The following is an 18242-nucleotide window of genomic DNA, read 5'->3' on the forward strand; positions in this document are numbered from 1 at the left end:
CACACCCAGCCTACAGAGTATTTTAAATCAGCATCTCTGTTTGTTGCCCAGGCTGGAGTGCAGTGGCGCAGTCTTGGCTCACTGCAGCCTAAACTTCCCAGGCTCAAGTGATCCTCCTGCCTCAGCCTCCCGAGTAGCTGGGACCACAGATGCGAACTACCACACTCAGCTAATTTTTGCATTTTTTGTGGAGATGGGGTTTTGCCATGTTGCCCAGGCTGGTCTCGAACTTCTGGGCTCAAGAGGTTTGCCCGCCTTGGCCTCCCAGAGTGCAGGGATTATAGGCGAAAGCCACTGTGCCCAGCCCACTTTTAATTTTTTAAAAAGATACTTGGCTGGGCGCAGTGGCTCACACCTGTAATCCCAGCACTTTGGGAGGCCAAGGCGGGTGGATCACATCAGGAGATTGAGACCATCCTGGCTAATGCGGTGAAACCCCATCTCTACTAAAAATACAAAAAAATTAGCCAGGCATGGTGGTGGGCACCTGTAGTCCCAGCTACTCAGGAGGCGGAGGTTGCAGTGAGCCGAGATCTTGCCACTGCACTCCAGCCTGGGCGACAGAGCGAGACTCTGTCTCAAAAAAAAAAAAGAGATACTTTCACTGAATACAGCATCTATTTTTGTTTTGTTTTGTTTAGTATGTTTTGTTTTGAGACAGAGTCTTGCTCTGTCACCCAGGCTGGAGTCCAGTGGCACGATCTTGGCTCACTGCAACCTCCGCCTCCTGGGTTCAAGCGAATCTCCTGACTCAGCCTCCCAAGTAATTACAGGCACACACCACCATGCCCAGCTAATTTTTTATTTTTTTATTTTTTAGTAGTAACAGGGTTTCACCATGTTGGCCAGGCTGGTCTCGAACTCCTGACTTCAAGTGACCTGCCTGCCTCAGCCTCCCAAGGTGCTGGGATTTATAGGTGTGAGCCACTGCGCCTGGCCCAGTGTAGCATCTGAACTGAAGTTGTTTTCTTTCAGCAGTTTAAAAATATCATTCCACTCTCTTTTGGCTTCCATTGTTTCTGTTGAGAAATTAGCCGTCAGCCTTAATGTTACTCCTTTAAAGGTAATGTTTCTTGGCTGTGAGTGGTGGCTCACGCCTGTAATCCCAACACTTTGGGAAGCCAAGGCAGGAGGATCACTTGAGTCTGGGAGTTTGAGACCAGTCTGGGCAACATAGTAATACTCCCATCTTTACAAAAAATATCAGCCAACCATGGTGGCACACGCCTATAGTCCCAGCTACTGGGGAGGCTAAGGTTTGCTGGAGCCCAGGACGTTGAGGCTGCTGTGAGCTGTGATGGCACTACTTCAGTCCAGCTTGGGTTACAGAGCACGACCCTGTCTCAAAAAAATAAAATTGAAAAATAAATAGGCCAGATAAATAGGCCAGGTGTAGTGCCTCATGCCTGTAATCTCAGCATTTTGGGAGGCCGAGGCAAGCGGATTGCCTGAACTCCGGGTTTGAGATCAGTTTGAGTAACATGGCGAAACCCTATCTCTATGAAAAAGATACAGAAATGTAGCTGGGCATGGTGGTGCACACCTGTGGTCCTAGCTGCTCAGGAGGCTGAAGTGGGCGGATCACCTAAGCCCAGAAGGTCGAGGCTGTAGTGCGCCATGATTGTGCCACTGCACTCCAGCGTGGGCAACACAGTGAGACCGTGTCTCAAAAAATAAAAATATATATTTTTAAAAAAATGATAATGCTTATTTTCCTAGCTGCCTACAAAACGTTTTCCCCTGCTCTGGGTCCCAGCAGTTTTACTGTATCTTCCTTTGTGGTTTTGTTTATATTTATCTTTTAATCCTTCATAAGTTTTCATACTTTTTTTTTCGAGACAGAGTCTCACTCTGTCACCCAGGCTGGAATGCAATGCTGTGATCTCAGCTCATTGCAACCTTTGCCTCCCAGGTTCAAGCAGTTCTCCCACCTCAGCCAAGTAGCTGGGATTTTAGGCATGTGCCACCATGCCTGGCTAATTTTTGTATTTTTAGTAGAGATGGGGTTTCACCATTTTGGCCAGGCTGGTCTCGAACTGCTAATGTCAAATGATCCACCTGCCTCAGCCTCTCAAAGTGCTAGGATTACAGGCATGAGCCACTGCACCCTGGCCTCCTTTTCTTTTTCAGACACTAACTAGAACCAAACCTCCGTAAGTTTGGTAAAGTTTATTTAGTTTGTGATATGTTTAATCAGTTTTAGGACATTGTCAGCCACTTTTCCTGAAAACAGACTGAATATTGCAGTCCCTCTTTGTCCTCCTCTTCTGGGACTACCTTTTCCGGAATGTTAGACCTTTTCACTATGTCTCCGAGAGCTCTTATGCTGATGTCTTTTTTTTTTTTTCCATTATTTTTTTCTTGGCATACTTTATTTTCTTTTTTTCTTTTCTTTTTTTGAGGTGGAGTCTTGCTCTGTCACCCAGGCTGGAGTGCAGTGGCGCAGTCTTGGCTCACTGCAAGCTCCGCCTCCCGGGTTCATGCCATTCTCCTGCCTCAGCCTCCCGAGTAGCTGGGACTACAGGCGCCCGCCACCAAGCCCAGCTAATTTTTTGTATTTTTTTAGTAGAGACGGGGTTTCACCACGTTAGCCAGGGTGGTCTCAATCTCCTGACCGTGATCTGCCCGCCTTGGCCTCCCAAAGTGCTGGGATTACAGGCGTGAGCCACTGCGCCCGGCCTATTTTCTTTGATTTTTAAATTTATTCAGCCTCCCTAGTAACTGAGACTATAGATGTGTGCCACCACACCTAGCTAATTTTTGTATTTTGTGTAGATACGGGGTTTTGCTGTGTTGCCCAGTTTTATTTTTCGATACAGTTGCTCCTCAACTTAAGATGGGGTTATGTCCCAGTAAACCCATTGTAAATTGAAAGTGCATTTTGACTTACAGTATTTTCGACTGGGTTTTTCCAAATATTACTCCATTGTAAGTAGAGAAGTGTATTTGATGTTTATTACTTTTGCACCATTGTAAAGTTGAAAAATTGTAAGTTGGGGATGTCTGTGTTGTATTTTTAAGTTCTAGTATTTCCATGTGATTTTTAAAAATGTATCGATTCCATCCTTTTTTTTTTCTTTTTTGAGACAGAGTCTCACTCTGTCGCCCAGGTTGGAGTGCAGTGGTGCAGTCTCGGCTCTCTGCAACCTCTGTCTCCCAGGTTCAAGCGATTCTCCTGCCTCAGCCTCCTGAGTAGCTAGGATTACAAGCATGTGCCACCACCACGTCTGGCTAATTTTTGTATATTTAGTAGAGACAGGGTTTCACCGTGTTGGCCAGGCTGGTCTTGAACTCCTGACCTCAAGTGATCCACCCACCTTTGCCTCCCAAAGGGCTGGGATTACAGACGTGAGCCATCGTGCCCATCCCATCTTCTTTTTTTTATTGAACACATAAATTATTATTTTAATGGCCATACGTAACTCCAACTCTGTCCAGCTTGGCAAGACAGCCAAAATATCTATTTAGCTTTTCAATTGCTGCTTTCTGCTTGTTTTCTCAAAATCTAGCCCCAAGCGTAAACAGTTTAGGGATTTGTAATAGCTCTAGGGAAAATTGCTGGCATTTCAGGTATACTTCTCTGCTGTTCCCTCCTCTGTATTTTTTGGTCCCTTATACCTTGGCTGTCATTATACCCCAAAATTCCTGTCTCTTCTTAGTCTGTTTTCTGTTGTCATAACAGAATACCTGAGATTAAGTAATCTATAAAGAAAAGAAGTTTATTTAGCCCACGCTTTTGGAAGCTGGAATGTTGAAAAGCATGGCGCTGGCATGGTGAGGGCCTTCCTGCTGCCTTGTAACCAGGCATCAGCATATGAAGGTGGTAACTAAGTTTCCAACATGTGAAACTGGGGGACATATTTAAATCGTAGCATTCTCACCAGCCCATTGAGACTACTTTAAACGCCTAGTTCAAAACCCCTAATACAGGGCTTACTCTAATGTATTCTTTCTTGAATCTTAGCCTGTTAAGTCGTGGCTGCCTGGTTGCTCTCCAGTGTCTTCTTTCTTTTAAAGCATATATTGCCAACATGCTTTGTGAGAAGGAGGTTCAATTATGTATTTTATGGACTTTATTAACAGAGAATTATAATTAAAATTTTTAAAAGTTAGGCACGGTGGCTCACGCCTGTAATCCCAGCACTTTGGGAGGCCAAGGTGGGTGGACCACTTGAGGTCCGGATATCGAGACCAGCCTGGGCAACATGGTGAAACCCTGTGTCTACTAAAAACACAAAAATTAGCTGGGTGTGGTGGCGGGTGCCTGTACTCCCAGCTACTTGGGAGGCTGGGGCAGGAGAAATGCTTGAATCTGGGAAGTGGAGGTTGCAGTGAGCCAAGATCACGCCATTGCACTCCAGCCTGGACGACTGAGTCTCCGTCTCCAAAAAAAAAAAAAATTATTGCCTTTTTAATGGCCCTTTTTACAAAAATAATACATGTTAACTAAAATTTAGAAAATATAGGTAAGCAGGCTGGGTGCGGTGGCTCACGCCTGTAATCCCAGCACTTTGGGAGGCCAGGGCTGGCAGATCATGAGGTCAAGATCGAGACCATCCTGGCCAATATGGTGAAACCCCGTCTCTACTAAAAATACAAAAATTAGCTGGGTGTGGTGGCATGTGCTTGTGGTCCCAGCTGCTCGGTAGGCTGAGGCAGGAGAATCGCTTGAACCTGGAAGGCAGAGGTTGCAGTGAGCCTAGATCACGCCGCTGCACTCCAGCCTGGTGCCACAGTGAGACTCCGTCTCAAAAAGGAAAAAAAAAAAAGGAAAAGGAAATATAGGTAAGCAACACTGAAGAAATAAATGTTACCTGTAATCCTATCAGACAATAGTTAGCAATTTGATACATGTTCATTGCCATTCTTCCTTGTATGAAATCATATTGTCATTGCTGGTTTTCACTAAAAATATCTTGAACATCTTTGCATGTTATTACATATTCTGTTGCAATGATTTTCAAATTATTTCACGATTATACATCAGTGTAACTAAAGTGGAATCTCAGTTTGTAAAATAGATAAGAACAGATCTATTGTAGTAGAAGCAGCAGTAGGCTTCCGTGGCTCCGGCTTGGAACCTCTAAGGCACTTGGGGACACAGTTGTGTGGTTCAGTATTTATTCAGTACATTATTATTTGGTATTGAAGTTATTGCCTAATTTTCCAGCATTATAAATAATGCTGCAGTGAATGTTCTTGATGGTTTCCTTAGGGAAAATTCTCAGAAATGGAATTTCTGAGACCAAGAGTATGCATGTTTGGTAAATACTTTTGTTGAATTACACAACAGAAACGTATCAATTCCTTATTTCTACAGCTCTGTAACAAAGTACCCATTCATTTCCCTACACCTTCACTGACACCGTGTGGCCAAATACCACATTAAGAACAAACTAGGGATGGGTGGGGTGACTCAGGCCTGTAATCCTAGCATTTTGGGAGGCTGGGGCGGGAGGATCACTTGAACCCAAGAGTTTAAGACCAGCCTGGGCAACATAGTGAGACTCTGTCTCTACAAAAAAAAAAATTTTTTTTAATTAGCCTGGTATTGTGGCACATGTCTAGTCCCACCTACTGAGGAGGCTGAGTTGGGAGGATCACTTGAGCCCGGGAGATCAAGGCTGCAGTGGGTTGTCATCATGCCACTGTGCTCCAGCGAAAAATCTAGGTGTTTCTTTCTGAATATGGACTGTCCTCCCGCCATCTCATTTTATTGTGAAAAGTTACAAAGATAGTAAAGGTGAAAGAATTTTACAGTGAACACCCATATACTGATCACCTGGATTCTACTTTTAGCATTTTATTATACTTGTTTTATCAGACTATATGTCTGTCTTTTGATGTTTTCAAAGTAAATTGTAGATACCAATACACTTCTGCCTCAGAACTTCAGCATGCATTGCACAAATCTTAAGTGGATATTTCCCATTAACGGCAAAAAACACAATTACTTTTGCACCAACCTAATAAAAGTAATATGTAGATATAAGAAAAAACCTCAAGTGAGATTAAAGGGGACTTCTATGTTCTGTGTTAAGTTTCTATAGCACTTATGTGTGTATTATAAATGTGTTGCTTTTATAATTAGGAAAACTAAGCATCAAGCAGACAAACGAAAGAGATGCTCCTTGTAGCATCTTTAGGATATGCAAAAATAATAGGAAGGGAGGAGAAACACAAATTCACACTCCAAGAAGTAGGTTTTTGTGTGTCTTTTTTTCCCCCCTACAATTTAGTGGGGTGTTTTTGTATTTCTTGGGAGTTTTTTCATTTCATTTCATGCGGTGGCAGAAGTCTTGTTTCCAAAGTTTCTGGGTGAAAGTTACATGTGGATATAACAGCCAGATCCTTGATGTGGGAGTCAGTAGATCTGGGATCTAGCCTCAGAATTTACGCTAACTGCGGTCGCTTTATCTCTCTCTATTTTAAATTTTTCTTATATAAAACAAGGAGTTTGAGAAAGCTTTTGACAAGCTATGCATTCCTTGAAACCATAGGTAGAGTTTAGAATTGGAATTTAGTTTACAGTTCTAACATTGTCAGAAAAAATCTTGCCGTTTCTCTAACTCTAGGGCCTGGGACTCTATAATGAAACTTCTGTGGGGGATTAGGACTAACCAGTATCTCAGGTGATTAGCCCAGTATATCACCTCTGAAGCATAAAAGCTGCACCTTTGGTCAGTTGAAAGTGACATTTTTAGTTAGTGTACTTTTGCTAATTACTTGTCTTGGTCAGCAGAAATAATAGTTCCCTAGGTGACATGTATTTTGCTCTGTTCAATTTGAGTTATGTCTGTTTTTAAGCCATTTATTTTATACTTCAAAGTTTACTGGTTTGTTACTTCTTTTTCTATTTTTTATTCTTCATCTTCCAGACCTCTTCCTGTGCCAAAACTGCCACCTGGGGAGCAATGTGAGGGTGAAGAGGACACAGAGTACATGACTCCCTCTTCCAGGCCTCTACGGCCTTTGGATACATCCCAGAGTTCACGGTAGGTTCACAACAACCCTTTTTGGGCCCTATACCTTTATGTGGGTAATTGACACCCTTCACCTGCTTGGCTTGCTACCTGCACATACTGTTATCCAGTCAGATTAAAGCAGAAAGATAAAGATAAATCTAGCCCTTAATGGTTTAAGCCTTTTGTAGCTGTAGGTAATTACACTTATGTTTTCTCAGCAACATGAGAACCTCAAAAACACATACACCTATAACTTGCCACAAGAGTCAACTTTAACATTTATTAGTGATATTGGCAAAACGAGAAGATGAATCTTCATAAGTTTATAGATAACAGTTCTATTTCCAAAGATCATTATGGCACTTTCCTTCTGGTTCAGAGCATGTGATTGCGACCAGCAGATTGATAGCTGTACGTATGAAGCAATGTATAATATTCAGTCCCAGGCGCCATCTATCACCGAGAGCAGCACCTTTGGTAAGTTGCCATTCTGCTACTTTAAAAATCATTGATATGTCATAGGAATGAACATGTAATATTTGGCAATTGAGATAGCTTGATCTAAGCTCAAAATTCTTCTGTAGCTGGGACTACAGGTACGTGCCACCATGCCCGGCTAATTTTTGTATTTTTAGTAGAGACGGGGTTTCACTATGTTGGCCAGGCTGGCCTTGAACTCCTGACCTCAGGTGATCCACCCCTCCCAAAGTGCTGAGATTACAGGCGTGAGCCACCACGCCCAGACAAAGCTGAAAATTATTTTCAGTAATCTTTGGCAAAATATCTTTGACATGGGCAGTAAAGTATCCCCAATCCTTTATTTCCTACTCACACTGCTGGTTCCTTTTGTGCTTTTCTTTGTCCTTCCAGGGCCTAGAGACATTTGTGTTCTATACTCTGGACCTGTAAGCTCCTTTTTTTTCTCATTGCATTGATGAAATTCTTTTATGTGGGGGTGGTGAACACTCAATTCCCATGTTAACTAGCCTACCAGATTGAAAGTTCAAGAAGCCTGCTCTCACAGGATCCTTTGCTGATCTTCCAAGGTGGAATGTGGATAGAAATGTTTATTGAATGATCTGAGATGACACTGGAGTCATTGGCATCGGTGGCTATTAACCTTGTCAAGAATAACCTTTGGCATGTTCAAAAATGAAAGCTGCAGTGTTGGTGCAGATTTTATTTTCTATTTTTATCTCTGTTTACATGGTGTTTGGCCCACAGTAGACAATCAGTAACTGTTGAATGAGATAAATGATTGCATACATGTAAAAATGAATGGCTGCCCCGTATTGAAATGTATTAGAAGATGAAGTGCGTCAGAAGAAGATAACATCACTCATTTTTCTCCAGGTGAAGGGAATTTGGCCGCAGCCCATGCCAACACTGGTCCCGAGGAGTCAGAAAATGAGGATGATGGGTATGATGTCCCAAAGCCACCTGTGCCGGCCGTGCTGGCCCGCCGAACTCTCTCAGATATCTCTAATGCCAGCTCCTCCTTTGGCTGGTTGTCTCTGGATGGTGATCCTACAACAAGTGAGTCTCCAGACTACTTTGGGTTTGTCCTGAATGGCAGTGTGGCCTGTATGTTTATATTGAAAGGGAGATGACCTTCTCTGGTGACAGTAAGTCAGTATGTAGGCTAAACATTATGTCTAAATGGGAGGAAAGTCCCAAGTTAGGAAGTTAGACTGTAGTCAGACTCTTTAGGATTTTTGCAGACTTAGAAAAGAGGTCATTCCTTAAACTCTGGCTCTTCTTATGTTAGGGGTAGGTAGGATTTATAGTTTCTCTGAGTATGCCTTATGACACTGGTAATTAGGCTTGATGGCTCAGAGCACACATTCCTTTTTCCTGGGCTCTGTTCCATTGGAAAGAAGGCATGCTAGCTCTGGAACACACACTGAATGGGCCTGGAGCCAGCCCATGTTGGGCCTTGACTACTGGAGGCTGCTCTTCTTGCACCTGTGGCTGCCTGGTAGGGCAGCAGCCAGAGTTGCTGTCACTTTGGAATTGAAGACAGCCTTCAGGACAGACAGCTGGTGAAAAAGAATACAGCCTTCGCTTGCCCAGACGAGCAATGTCCCCCACTCAGCCTTGGCTAATGCTTCTTCATTGCAACTTATATCTGTCTTTTTCCTTATTTGTAGAAGGCGAAGTTTAGTATCTTTGGTCCCCTCAGAATTAAAACAGACAATTACATGTGCACAAACATGTTGCTTAGTGTAAAGCATGATGCAGATGTTTATGATTGCAGTGGTTATTGTTCATAGGACAGGTGCATGGTATATTTAGAAGGTTGTTTTTATTGTGATGAGGAGGCTATATCTTAAAACCCTTGAACCTGTAAAACCCAGCCTTGTGACTGAAGAGCACATGTACCCAGTTTACAGGAAGTCAGTAATATCTTGATATTAGCACATTTTTATTGCTGTTGTTAAATGAGGATTTCCCCAGATTTGCAAATATTTTCTTTCCTATTTCTTCTAGATGTCACTGAAGGTTCCCAAGTTCCCGAGAGGCCTCCAAAACCATTCCCGCGGAGAATCAACTCTGAACGGAAAGCTGGCAGCTGTCAGCAAGGTAGTGGTCCTGCCGCCTCTGCTGCCACCGCCTCACCTCAGCTCTCCAGTGAGATCGAGAACCTCATGAGTCAGGGGTACTCCTACCAGGACATCCAGAAAGCTTTGGTCATTGCCCAGAACAACATCGAGATGGCCAAAAACATCCTCCGGGAATTTGTTTCCATTTCTTCTCCTGCCCATGTAGCTACCTAGCACACCATCTCCCTGCTGCAGGTTTAGAGGACCAGTGAGTTGGGAGTTATTACTCAAGTGGCACCTAGAAGGGCAGGAGTTCCTTTGGTGACTTCACAGTGAAGTCTTGCCCTCTCTGTGGGATATCACATCAGTGGTTCCAAGATTTCAAAGTGGTGAAATGAAAATGGAGCAGCTAGTATGTTTTATTATTTTATGGGTCTTGAGTGCATTTGAAGGTGTCCTTCAGTTCCCACGTAGAGAGAGTGTGGATTATATTACATGATAACCTACCTGGGGAACAGTCCAGAAAGCTATAGAACAAGTATTTTGCTGGAAATCCTAATTGAGGACTTAAGACTTCCTGGGTTAAGGATGTGGCCGTGTGTGTGTGTGTCTGCCTGTGGTTGTATGTGTCCTTGTGATTATAAGATTAACCTGCTGTGTGTGTTAATTCCAGGCAGGGAATTAGCACAAAAGGTTTAGGAAGGAATCTTTTTTTAAAGACTTCCATCTACTGTGGTATTATACCCAAGCCTAGTGTGTATTACAACTTCAACACTCCCCTTTGGCTTATATTACCATGTGCATAGCTAAAGTCTTCTATTTTTAGAACACCTTCTGTCTGTTCTTTCCCCATCAACTCCTTCCTCATCCTTCTTGGTGTTCTGTCATGGGCCATGGGCTTGCTATGGCCAGCCTTACTGAGGCCAAGCAGCTTATGGGATGTTCTTTATTGTGTGTGATGGTATTGGTTTGTTTGGTAGATAAGTGGGAGGAAAAGTACTGTTGCTACACTATTATAGGCATGTTTGATACTAGCAGCTAACACTGGTCACTCCAAAGCACTGTTTCTATAGGAACATTGAAGCTATTAAGATGTTTTGATTATCCTAATTACATAATGACCGATTTGAGATAGAGGCCTTTAAATACATTCCATGCCCTCCCCAGAAAATAGTCTGTGGGAGTCAGTTGCCTTGGTGCCAGGTATGTGTTCTGATGTAGGTCATGAGTCTTTCTACTTAATGGGAAGGGAAGAACATTTGTTTCCAGGATGACTTTCTGGCCAGAATACCGGAAAGCTTTTAGGAAGCTTCGTTCACATGCTATTTAAATGCACAAAATAGACAGTAAGGATTTATCTGTTCAGTTTTTCTTCCCAGTGAATTAATTTCAGCTTATATGGGTGTCTTCATTTGAACATGAGGAATATTAGGTTATATTTTCAGCAGTGGTTTTTTCCTTTGCCCTTTAAGGAGTGGGGATAATGTCCACGGTGGCCCAGCCTCTTGCTGATGGCACCTTCCCTGCATTGCTGCCTCCCGATGATGTGGTTCTTTTCTTGTGCCTGTGGCTTTGGGAATGTAACATCTCTTTCCTCCTTTCCTTCCCTTTTCCTCTTCACCTGAGGTCCTAAATACTCTCTGTAATTACTGTGTTCTTCACGGTAATTAGACATCATTCAGTGAATAAATTACTGTAGTCAAAGACAGTATGGGCTGGCAGTTTGTGTAATTGCAAGTTCATAAAGAGAATTGAGGGTCCAGTTGGGAGAACTATTAGTCAGTTCTTTTATATGCTGATAAATGATCCCTCGAGTTCAGTTAGTATTCTGTCCAGAGTGTTTAGCTCACTTTCTTAGCAGTGTGTAAGCTTTCTCCATGTCAGAAGCAAGCCTGCTCTTTGATAAATCTGTCTTCCTGAAAATCTAAATCATGCTTTTGTCTTTAGATCTACACAGAAATGACCCTCCTTGGATCAGTTTTCTTTCCAGTCTAATCATCTTTGGAACTAAAACTTGTTCTAACTCGTCTCTTGGCATTCAGCTACTCCTAGATCTTTTGGTTTTATCCCCTGGCCTCAGAGCCATTTATATTCCCAGAGTAGGCAGTACAGGATCTCGTGTTGATTTGCTGTGGTTACCCAGTGTCTTCTCTACATGGCATAAAGCGGCAAAGCCCACCATTAGGTGAGGCGGTCCCGAGTTGAGGTAGAGTGGGGCAGAGGAAGATGGCAGTGAATATCAAACAGTAGACCGCCATCAACTTCTAACAGCCAGTACACACACTGTTTCATTTTGAGGTAACGTTCAGTTTTGCATTTTGTTTAAATATTGAAGGCCTAGACAAAGAACTAGAAAAAAAAAAGCAGTTTCCAGGCCCATCCATATTGTAATTTTTCTTTATCTGCAGATATTGCCTGTAGTCTAAAGATCTCTTTGGAAGACAAAGCATTGGCTATATATCTTTTGCCTTTTCCATGCATCTAAATCTTCTCTGGAGATTATCTCCCTACTGTGTAGGTTAAGGGCAGTCTCGACTTTTCCTTTTTTGAGTCCTGTGTGGCTCTTTGAATCAGCGTGAAACTGAGGCTCCAGCTCCCTGTGTTGTGTGTGTGTGCCATCCATGGGCTTGGGTGTCAGTTTGTCACAGGTATCTGCCAGCATTCAAGGTTTTGGATCATTTCATGAGGATCTTTCCTTTGACTGGGTGCTGTGAGGACACACCTGGGTCTGTGCCTGAGATTGCCAGGCAAGATTAAGGAAAGTTTTCATGTGGCTTTTGTTTTGAGGTTATTCTCAAAACCTTAATTTCTTATATTTTCTGTTGACTAAGGCACCAGTAACCCATTCTTCACCCTCCATTTGTATGGCAATTTAAAAGTCTTTGGCTTTGCTCTGAATTTAATTAAAACTGCCTTTTATGAACAGACTTCGAGTTTTGCCATTTTGGGCAAGCCCTTCCGCTTGTCCCTTCCTAGTGGCTAATAAAGTAAAAAAACCCACACTACTTTGTTCTCTTTTTCTCATATTCATTGGGCTGTTGTATTCAGCCAGTCTCATGCTTTCCCTGGGTCTTCACGGATTGCTTTCCAAGCTGCCTTGTTGCGGGGTTGCTGCAGAGCAGCAACTGGACCTTTCCAGCTGTCGCCATGTTCCTTCCACTAAAGTAGAGGGTTCTTAAAATGGAAAAACCTGTGGGCTCTTCATATACCTCCCTTTAGTTAAGTAATAGACCAGGCAGCTTCTCATCTCAGCATTTACCTGTTAATATTTTTGTGAATAGTGCTCTCTACCTGTGGGTGGCCGTTCTCTTCCACTTGCTCGTCTCCCCCCAGCCCCATTCTGCATAATCTACCATTCTTCTCCTCTCTTTCTCTTCTTATACAGACCCTCATTACTGGGGCCCAAGATGTGGGATACTACTGTTAGTATTATTTAACTATTTTGTAGATTTAAAAGATTTCTGGTTAAGGGAGGTGGGGGTCACTGTTCATCACTCTTAAAATATGTGTTTTCTCTATAGAAAAGTAAAATGTGTTTATGGTCCCAAACAGTCAACTCACAAATTTTTATAACAAAATTTCCTTGTAAAAACTAGGGACCATCTATATATTCCCTTTAAGATCTAGTTCTTTTTGTAGGTGTTCAGCAATGGTGATAAAGCAGAATATTCTCCTACCTCACGTCATTAAAGTCAGAAGATTATAGACCTTCTCAAACTATAAGTCCCTCTTCTTGCCGTTGGCCTTTCTGACTCTGGAATGACCACTGTTCATTGAAAAATAGTTTTCTGACTATTGGTCTGGCTCTAACAGTTTGTTTGTTCATCCAGCAAATGTTTATGAGTGATGACCATGTGCCAGAAATGTCAGGTATGTGTCCTTCCCTTGGCGCCACATAGTAGTTTACTAATGTTTGGGGGATTGTACTTGGACTGTCATAGCCTCTGCGTTTGACCTTAAAATAGCTCTTCCCAGTAAGATTGTGCAATTTTTATTCACAGCTCTTCCATGTAGACTTACCTTTCCTCATAGAGCTATCCTGGTTAATAACAGGCCAAGATTCTCCCATTATCCCCTGTTGTCTCCTGTAGCTTTGATAATGCCTGGGAGATTCCTTGGTGTAAGTGTCATGGATACCGACTGTTTTTATGTTGGAATTTGTTCCAACATAATTAGAATCTGTTTGGTGAGTTGAAAGGTAAGTTGGCTCAGAGTTGCACAGTAGGGCATTAAATGTTTAAGCAAAGCATCTGCCCACACTCCCCTTTCCAATCTAGTGCCTTCCTTGAACTTTTTCCTGAGCTGCTACGTCCCTAATCCCCCTTGTTGGGAGGATTTTCGTATCACCCTTATGGGACCTGTCACCATGTCCTGTACTATTTGGAATTGGTTTTCCAGTCTTTCAACAACCGTTGTGGCTAACTATGTTTTAGAAGGGCTGGAGGTGTGGGCCCTGTCTTCGGGTCTCAGGACCCAAAGATCCTTTAGTCAGTTGTTGGGTCTTCCAAGAGCCAGACATTAATACAGATTGAACTCCATCAGTCCCCTAATTGTCAGCCTTTACCTCCCTCCCAGAGCAAGGAGTTTAGGGATTCTAAAGCTTAGTGTCCACACATCATTCTACCAGACCTTAGAGCTTTAGAAGCTCAATCTAAAATACTGTAACTCAGCATAAACTATTACTATCACTCCTTTGAACTCAGTCTCCATGAGCAGTGTTTTGTTGGAAATACATAGAACGGCTTAATGCCTAGAGGGTGGTGGATAGTGAAGGACGGTCAAGGTTATATTTTTGACTGCTTAGGGATTCTTTGGATCCAAGAAACAGAAATGTTCAAGCGGAATAAAGGAGGGAGTGGAGTTGTGGTAAGGATGCAGGGTATTTCGCAGAACCCAGGACGGGAAGTGCCTTTGGTTCTTGGGTGGAGCTGGAACTGCAGAGCTTTGCACCTAGTCCTTTCTCCCGCTTCACAGTCTGCTTATGGTATATGTGGCCCCCAAATAGGCACTCTAGTCCTCAAGTCTACACCACCTTCCAACTCTGGGGATCACCATGAACAAATTCTCAATTTCCCATACTTAATTTTTTTTTTTTTTGAGATGGAGTCTCGCTGTGTCGCCCAGGCTGGAGTGCAGTGGTGCAGTCTCAACTCACCACAACCTCTGCCTCCCAGGTTCAAGCAGTTCTCTGCCTCAACCTCCCGAGTAGCTGGGATTACAGGCGCCTGCCACCATGCCCAGCTAATGTTCATATTTTTAGTAGAGACAGGGTTTCACCGTCTTGGCTAGGCTGGTCTTGAACTCCTGACCCTCATGATCCACCCACCTCGGCCTCCCAAAGTGCTAAGATTACAGGCGTGAGCCACCGCGCCCGGCCCATACTTCGTATTCTTAAAAAAAACTACACTCAGCCCAGCACATTGATCAAGTATCTATCTCTGAGCAGTTGGCCTTGCCAGGGAGAGCAGAGATGTGGCAGGCTCCTTCAGCTGGAGACAGGGAGCTTCTCAGAGAAGTGAGCAGAGACTCCACAGACACCCTAAAAAGGCTTCTACTCAAGAAGTAAAGCCACTACTCCTGCCTTTTTGCTTAGTGGACAGGAAGGCACAGGAGTTTGTCTGGGACATCATAGAAATTCTTAGGTTTAACTTAATTCTGGTCATTGTCTTCTTTATTTCCTGTTTTTCTTCCCTTTGTCAGTCTTCGCATCCAAGATTTCTTCCCTCCCTCTTGTGGGCCAGCCTGTCCTGTTCCAGAGCTAGCCTGTTCCTGGGTAGCCTTCCTTAGCCTCCATTCAGCCTCAGGTCTTTTGCCTTCTTCCGTGTTTATTTAGAGAGCAGAATCTAATAACGGGTTCCACTGTAGCCACTATCCATGGACTTCTGGGTCCTCTTCAGGTTTGAGTGCTTGAAAATGTTCATTCTCTGGGCTTGTGGCCTGTCTCCTCCACTCTCCTCCTCACCCTCTCGCTCCTTCCTGTGTGAGGGCCGCTCTGCAGTAATGTTCTCAGGCAAGCCTTCCTAGGCACCTCAGAAACTACTTTGCCAGAGCCAGTAAGAATATATAATATTGGAGCAGTTGCCAGGATAGAAATTAAATATAGATTCCAGTTTAGGATAGAGTTTTTACCGAGAGCTCTTTAGACAGTATACCTGTGTCTTCTCTGGCAATTGCTTTCATTTTAGTCCTATATAAAAGCTTTCCTTTTCTGTTTTTTTTTAAAACTATGCTTTTGCTTGCCTAAATCTTTTGATCTTATATTTCTCTCATCTCAGAGCCTGTCCTGAGTTGTAAGGTATTTCATACTGCCTTACTTAAAAGTTTTTTAAACTACTAGAGTCATTTGATACACACAGAAGTTACCTAATAATCCAAAGATGTCCATCAAGGGAGGAAGGGTGGGTCATCAGACTTTGCCTTTGATGTTGTAGACTAGGCTCCTGAGTTAAGCAGCAGAGGGACAGCAGTGCCATGTGCCTTCACTGTGTCCCAGGAAATCTGGGTTGGTTCCAGTGGGAAATACCAGTATTTCTTGGTTCTGGAAAGTAGCAAAAGAGTAGGAGATGGGGAAATAGGGATGGGGAGAGCAAGCCCCGCATGTCCATGGCGAGTCAGGTGGGGAGCACGGGTGGAAGGGCCGGCTGTTGACAGACAGACTAAGCTGTGTGGTGCTCTTGCCGCCCCTTCCTGGGTACAGAGCTTGAGAAAAATGCAGCCGACCACTCCCTGTGTTTGTACAGAGCAAAGCCCAAAAGCCAACCTCAGATCTCCTGATTTGGCAGCTGAAGAAATCAGCAGAGTCCTGATTGCCTGATTCAGTCCCAAAAATGAATGTCAGGCCCCGCCCCCTCCCCACCAACATTGCCTCTCCTACATTCTCCTTCTGCCCCTAAATCAGACAGGAGGCCAGAGAGGAGTATTGCTCAATGCGTGCTATGTGCAACTCCTCAGGCCTTGTGCCACCTCCATGCTGAGCCCTGAAGCAGGGTGTCCTGGGTGCCTGTGTGTCAGCTCCCTCCTCTCTACCTACCTCTGACCTTCTTGTGGGTGAGGGTGGCCATGCTTATGGCCATCTTAAAACTGGAGAGGCAGAGAACTACTTATGAGTCTGTAGACCACGTGTTGTCTTCCATGGCCTGTTTCTCCTGCTGTCTGGGTGAGTGAGCCTGCAACGCAATGCCCATGAGAGTAAATGCCTCCTGACCTACCCTGCTCAGCACTGTTCTAGTGTCTTGGCCTTGAAAGAAAAGCCTGACTTCCTGCTGACACATGTGGTAGGGGCATGGCAGCTATGAGGCACCTCCTACGTCTGTTTTCTGGCTGTGGTGACTTGGGATTTTTAACCTTATATATCTTTTTCCTTTACTCAAAACAAAACAATTTTTAGCACACTGAAAAAAAAAAAAAGCCAAATGTTTTGTGCCTTTCTAAGGCAGCACTGTATCCCAGGCTGCATTTTAGGACTTAATATGGAAATACCAGAGTCTGAGCTCCTCTACCTTGAGTTTCATTAGTCCTTAGTGTCTAGGAGACAGGAAAGAATGCTCTCTGTGACTGGAGAGGTGACATGCAGGTGCAGTGTGTCTGGAGTCCCTTTCCCCTGCTGTGAGACTTCAGTGGAGGAGAGAAGCATTGTACCCTGGGATCATTTGGTTGGTTCCAATCACAAGCTTAGTTATCAGGTTGCATGCCTTGTCTCCTGCAAAAGACAGAATGTTTCACAATTCCCAGGTAAACTCTGGACCATTCCAAGTGTCCTAGCCTTCTGATGACATTAATTACCTAGTTGTGTCGAGGAGTATAGGATGGACTCTCCTGAGAAGGGGAGGTTGGTGGCTTTGTCTTTTCTTTTTGCTGGATCCTGAACTGGTCTAGACCTCCTGCCCCCACCCCCCAGCCCCCATCAGATGTGGCTGGCCTTTCATTTGAAGGCTTCAGACTTAAAGCATTAAGCAGCTAGTGCCCTCTGCAGGGCCTGGTTTCCCCAGGGAAGGGCAGCAAGGAACATGGGACCAGAAGCCTGTCCTCAGTAATGTGACTATAGTGAGCTTTAGCAAAAGTTTTTCTATATAATGACATCTTACTTATCTTTTACCCTTTCCTCAGTTTTCCCCTGCCTTTAACTAATAAAGAATTGGGAGACAGAAATTTTAAAGTCCTCCTTATTCAAGATTTTGAAATTCTTAGCCTGGGAGTGCTGGAGAGAACCTGATGCTTTCTCCAGAATGAAGAGTCCCAATTTGTATATCAGTGTTAAGAAGAAAACAAAACAAACACATAGGTGAGATTTTCGTGGACTATTTTAAAAATGTGTCATTAATATAAAAAATTTATATTAGCAGTATTTAATCATTCTCACCTGTAAAGAATAAGAAAAACAGAAGGTAAATATTCTTACAGAGAATAGCAGAGCTTTAAGATTCATTTTCATTTTAAGTCCATTTTATTTTGCCAGTGTATTAATGTTTAGAAGTCTGTTTTACTAATGTTATTTATTAATTTTTTTTCATTTCCATACACAGTTAGTTAACTAAAGAGCTTTTTCAAGCACCCATGTCTGTAAAAAAATATTTTTAAATAAAGTTTCTTTTGTTGTAGCAGACTTGAGTTCTTGCTCATTCAGGGGGTTGGGAGGCAATACTCGAGTTGCCGTAGGACCAAATGCCAAGGCCCCCTTCCTCATGGCGGTGAGCCTGAGCTGCTGTCTGGAGGGCAGTTCCAAGTGGCAGGAAAG

General features: G+C 43.4%; 1 protein-coding gene across 1 annotated transcript in view, besides 1 other annotated feature; it reads left to right on the forward strand.

Annotated features, from left to right (window-relative positions):
- The window catches only part of CBL (Cbl proto-oncogene), a 101811-nt gene extending 83701 nt beyond the window's left edge, over positions 1–18110 (forward strand). The window contains exons 13-16 of the mRNA NM_005188.4: positions 6879–6995; positions 7345–7442; positions 8319–8501; positions 9456–18110. Of these exons, the coding sequence (NP_005179.2) occupies positions 6879–6995; positions 7345–7442; positions 8319–8501; positions 9456–9742 (685 nt within the window). The 3' untranslated portion in view covers positions 9743–18110. The remainder of the gene's footprint in view (positions 1–6878; positions 6996–7344; positions 7443–8318; positions 8502–9455) is intronic.
- Positions 16449–17194: an enhancer, noted in NCBI's record as "H3K27ac-H3K4me1 hESC enhancer chr11:119177198-119177943 (GRCh37/hg19 assembly coordinates)". NCBI's record gives its function as "activates a minimal SCP1, AML or CMV promoter by ChIP-STARR-seq in naive H9 embryonic stem cells {active_cell/tissue: H9 hESC(naive)}" and the evidence as "EXISTENCE:reporter gene assay evidence [ECO:0000049][PMID:30033119]".

Source organism: Homo sapiens, chromosome 11 (genome assembly GCF_000001405.40).
Source record: "Homo sapiens chromosome 11, GRCh38.p14 Primary Assembly".
NCBI lineage: Eukaryota > Metazoa > Chordata > Mammalia > Primates > Hominidae > Homo > Homo sapiens.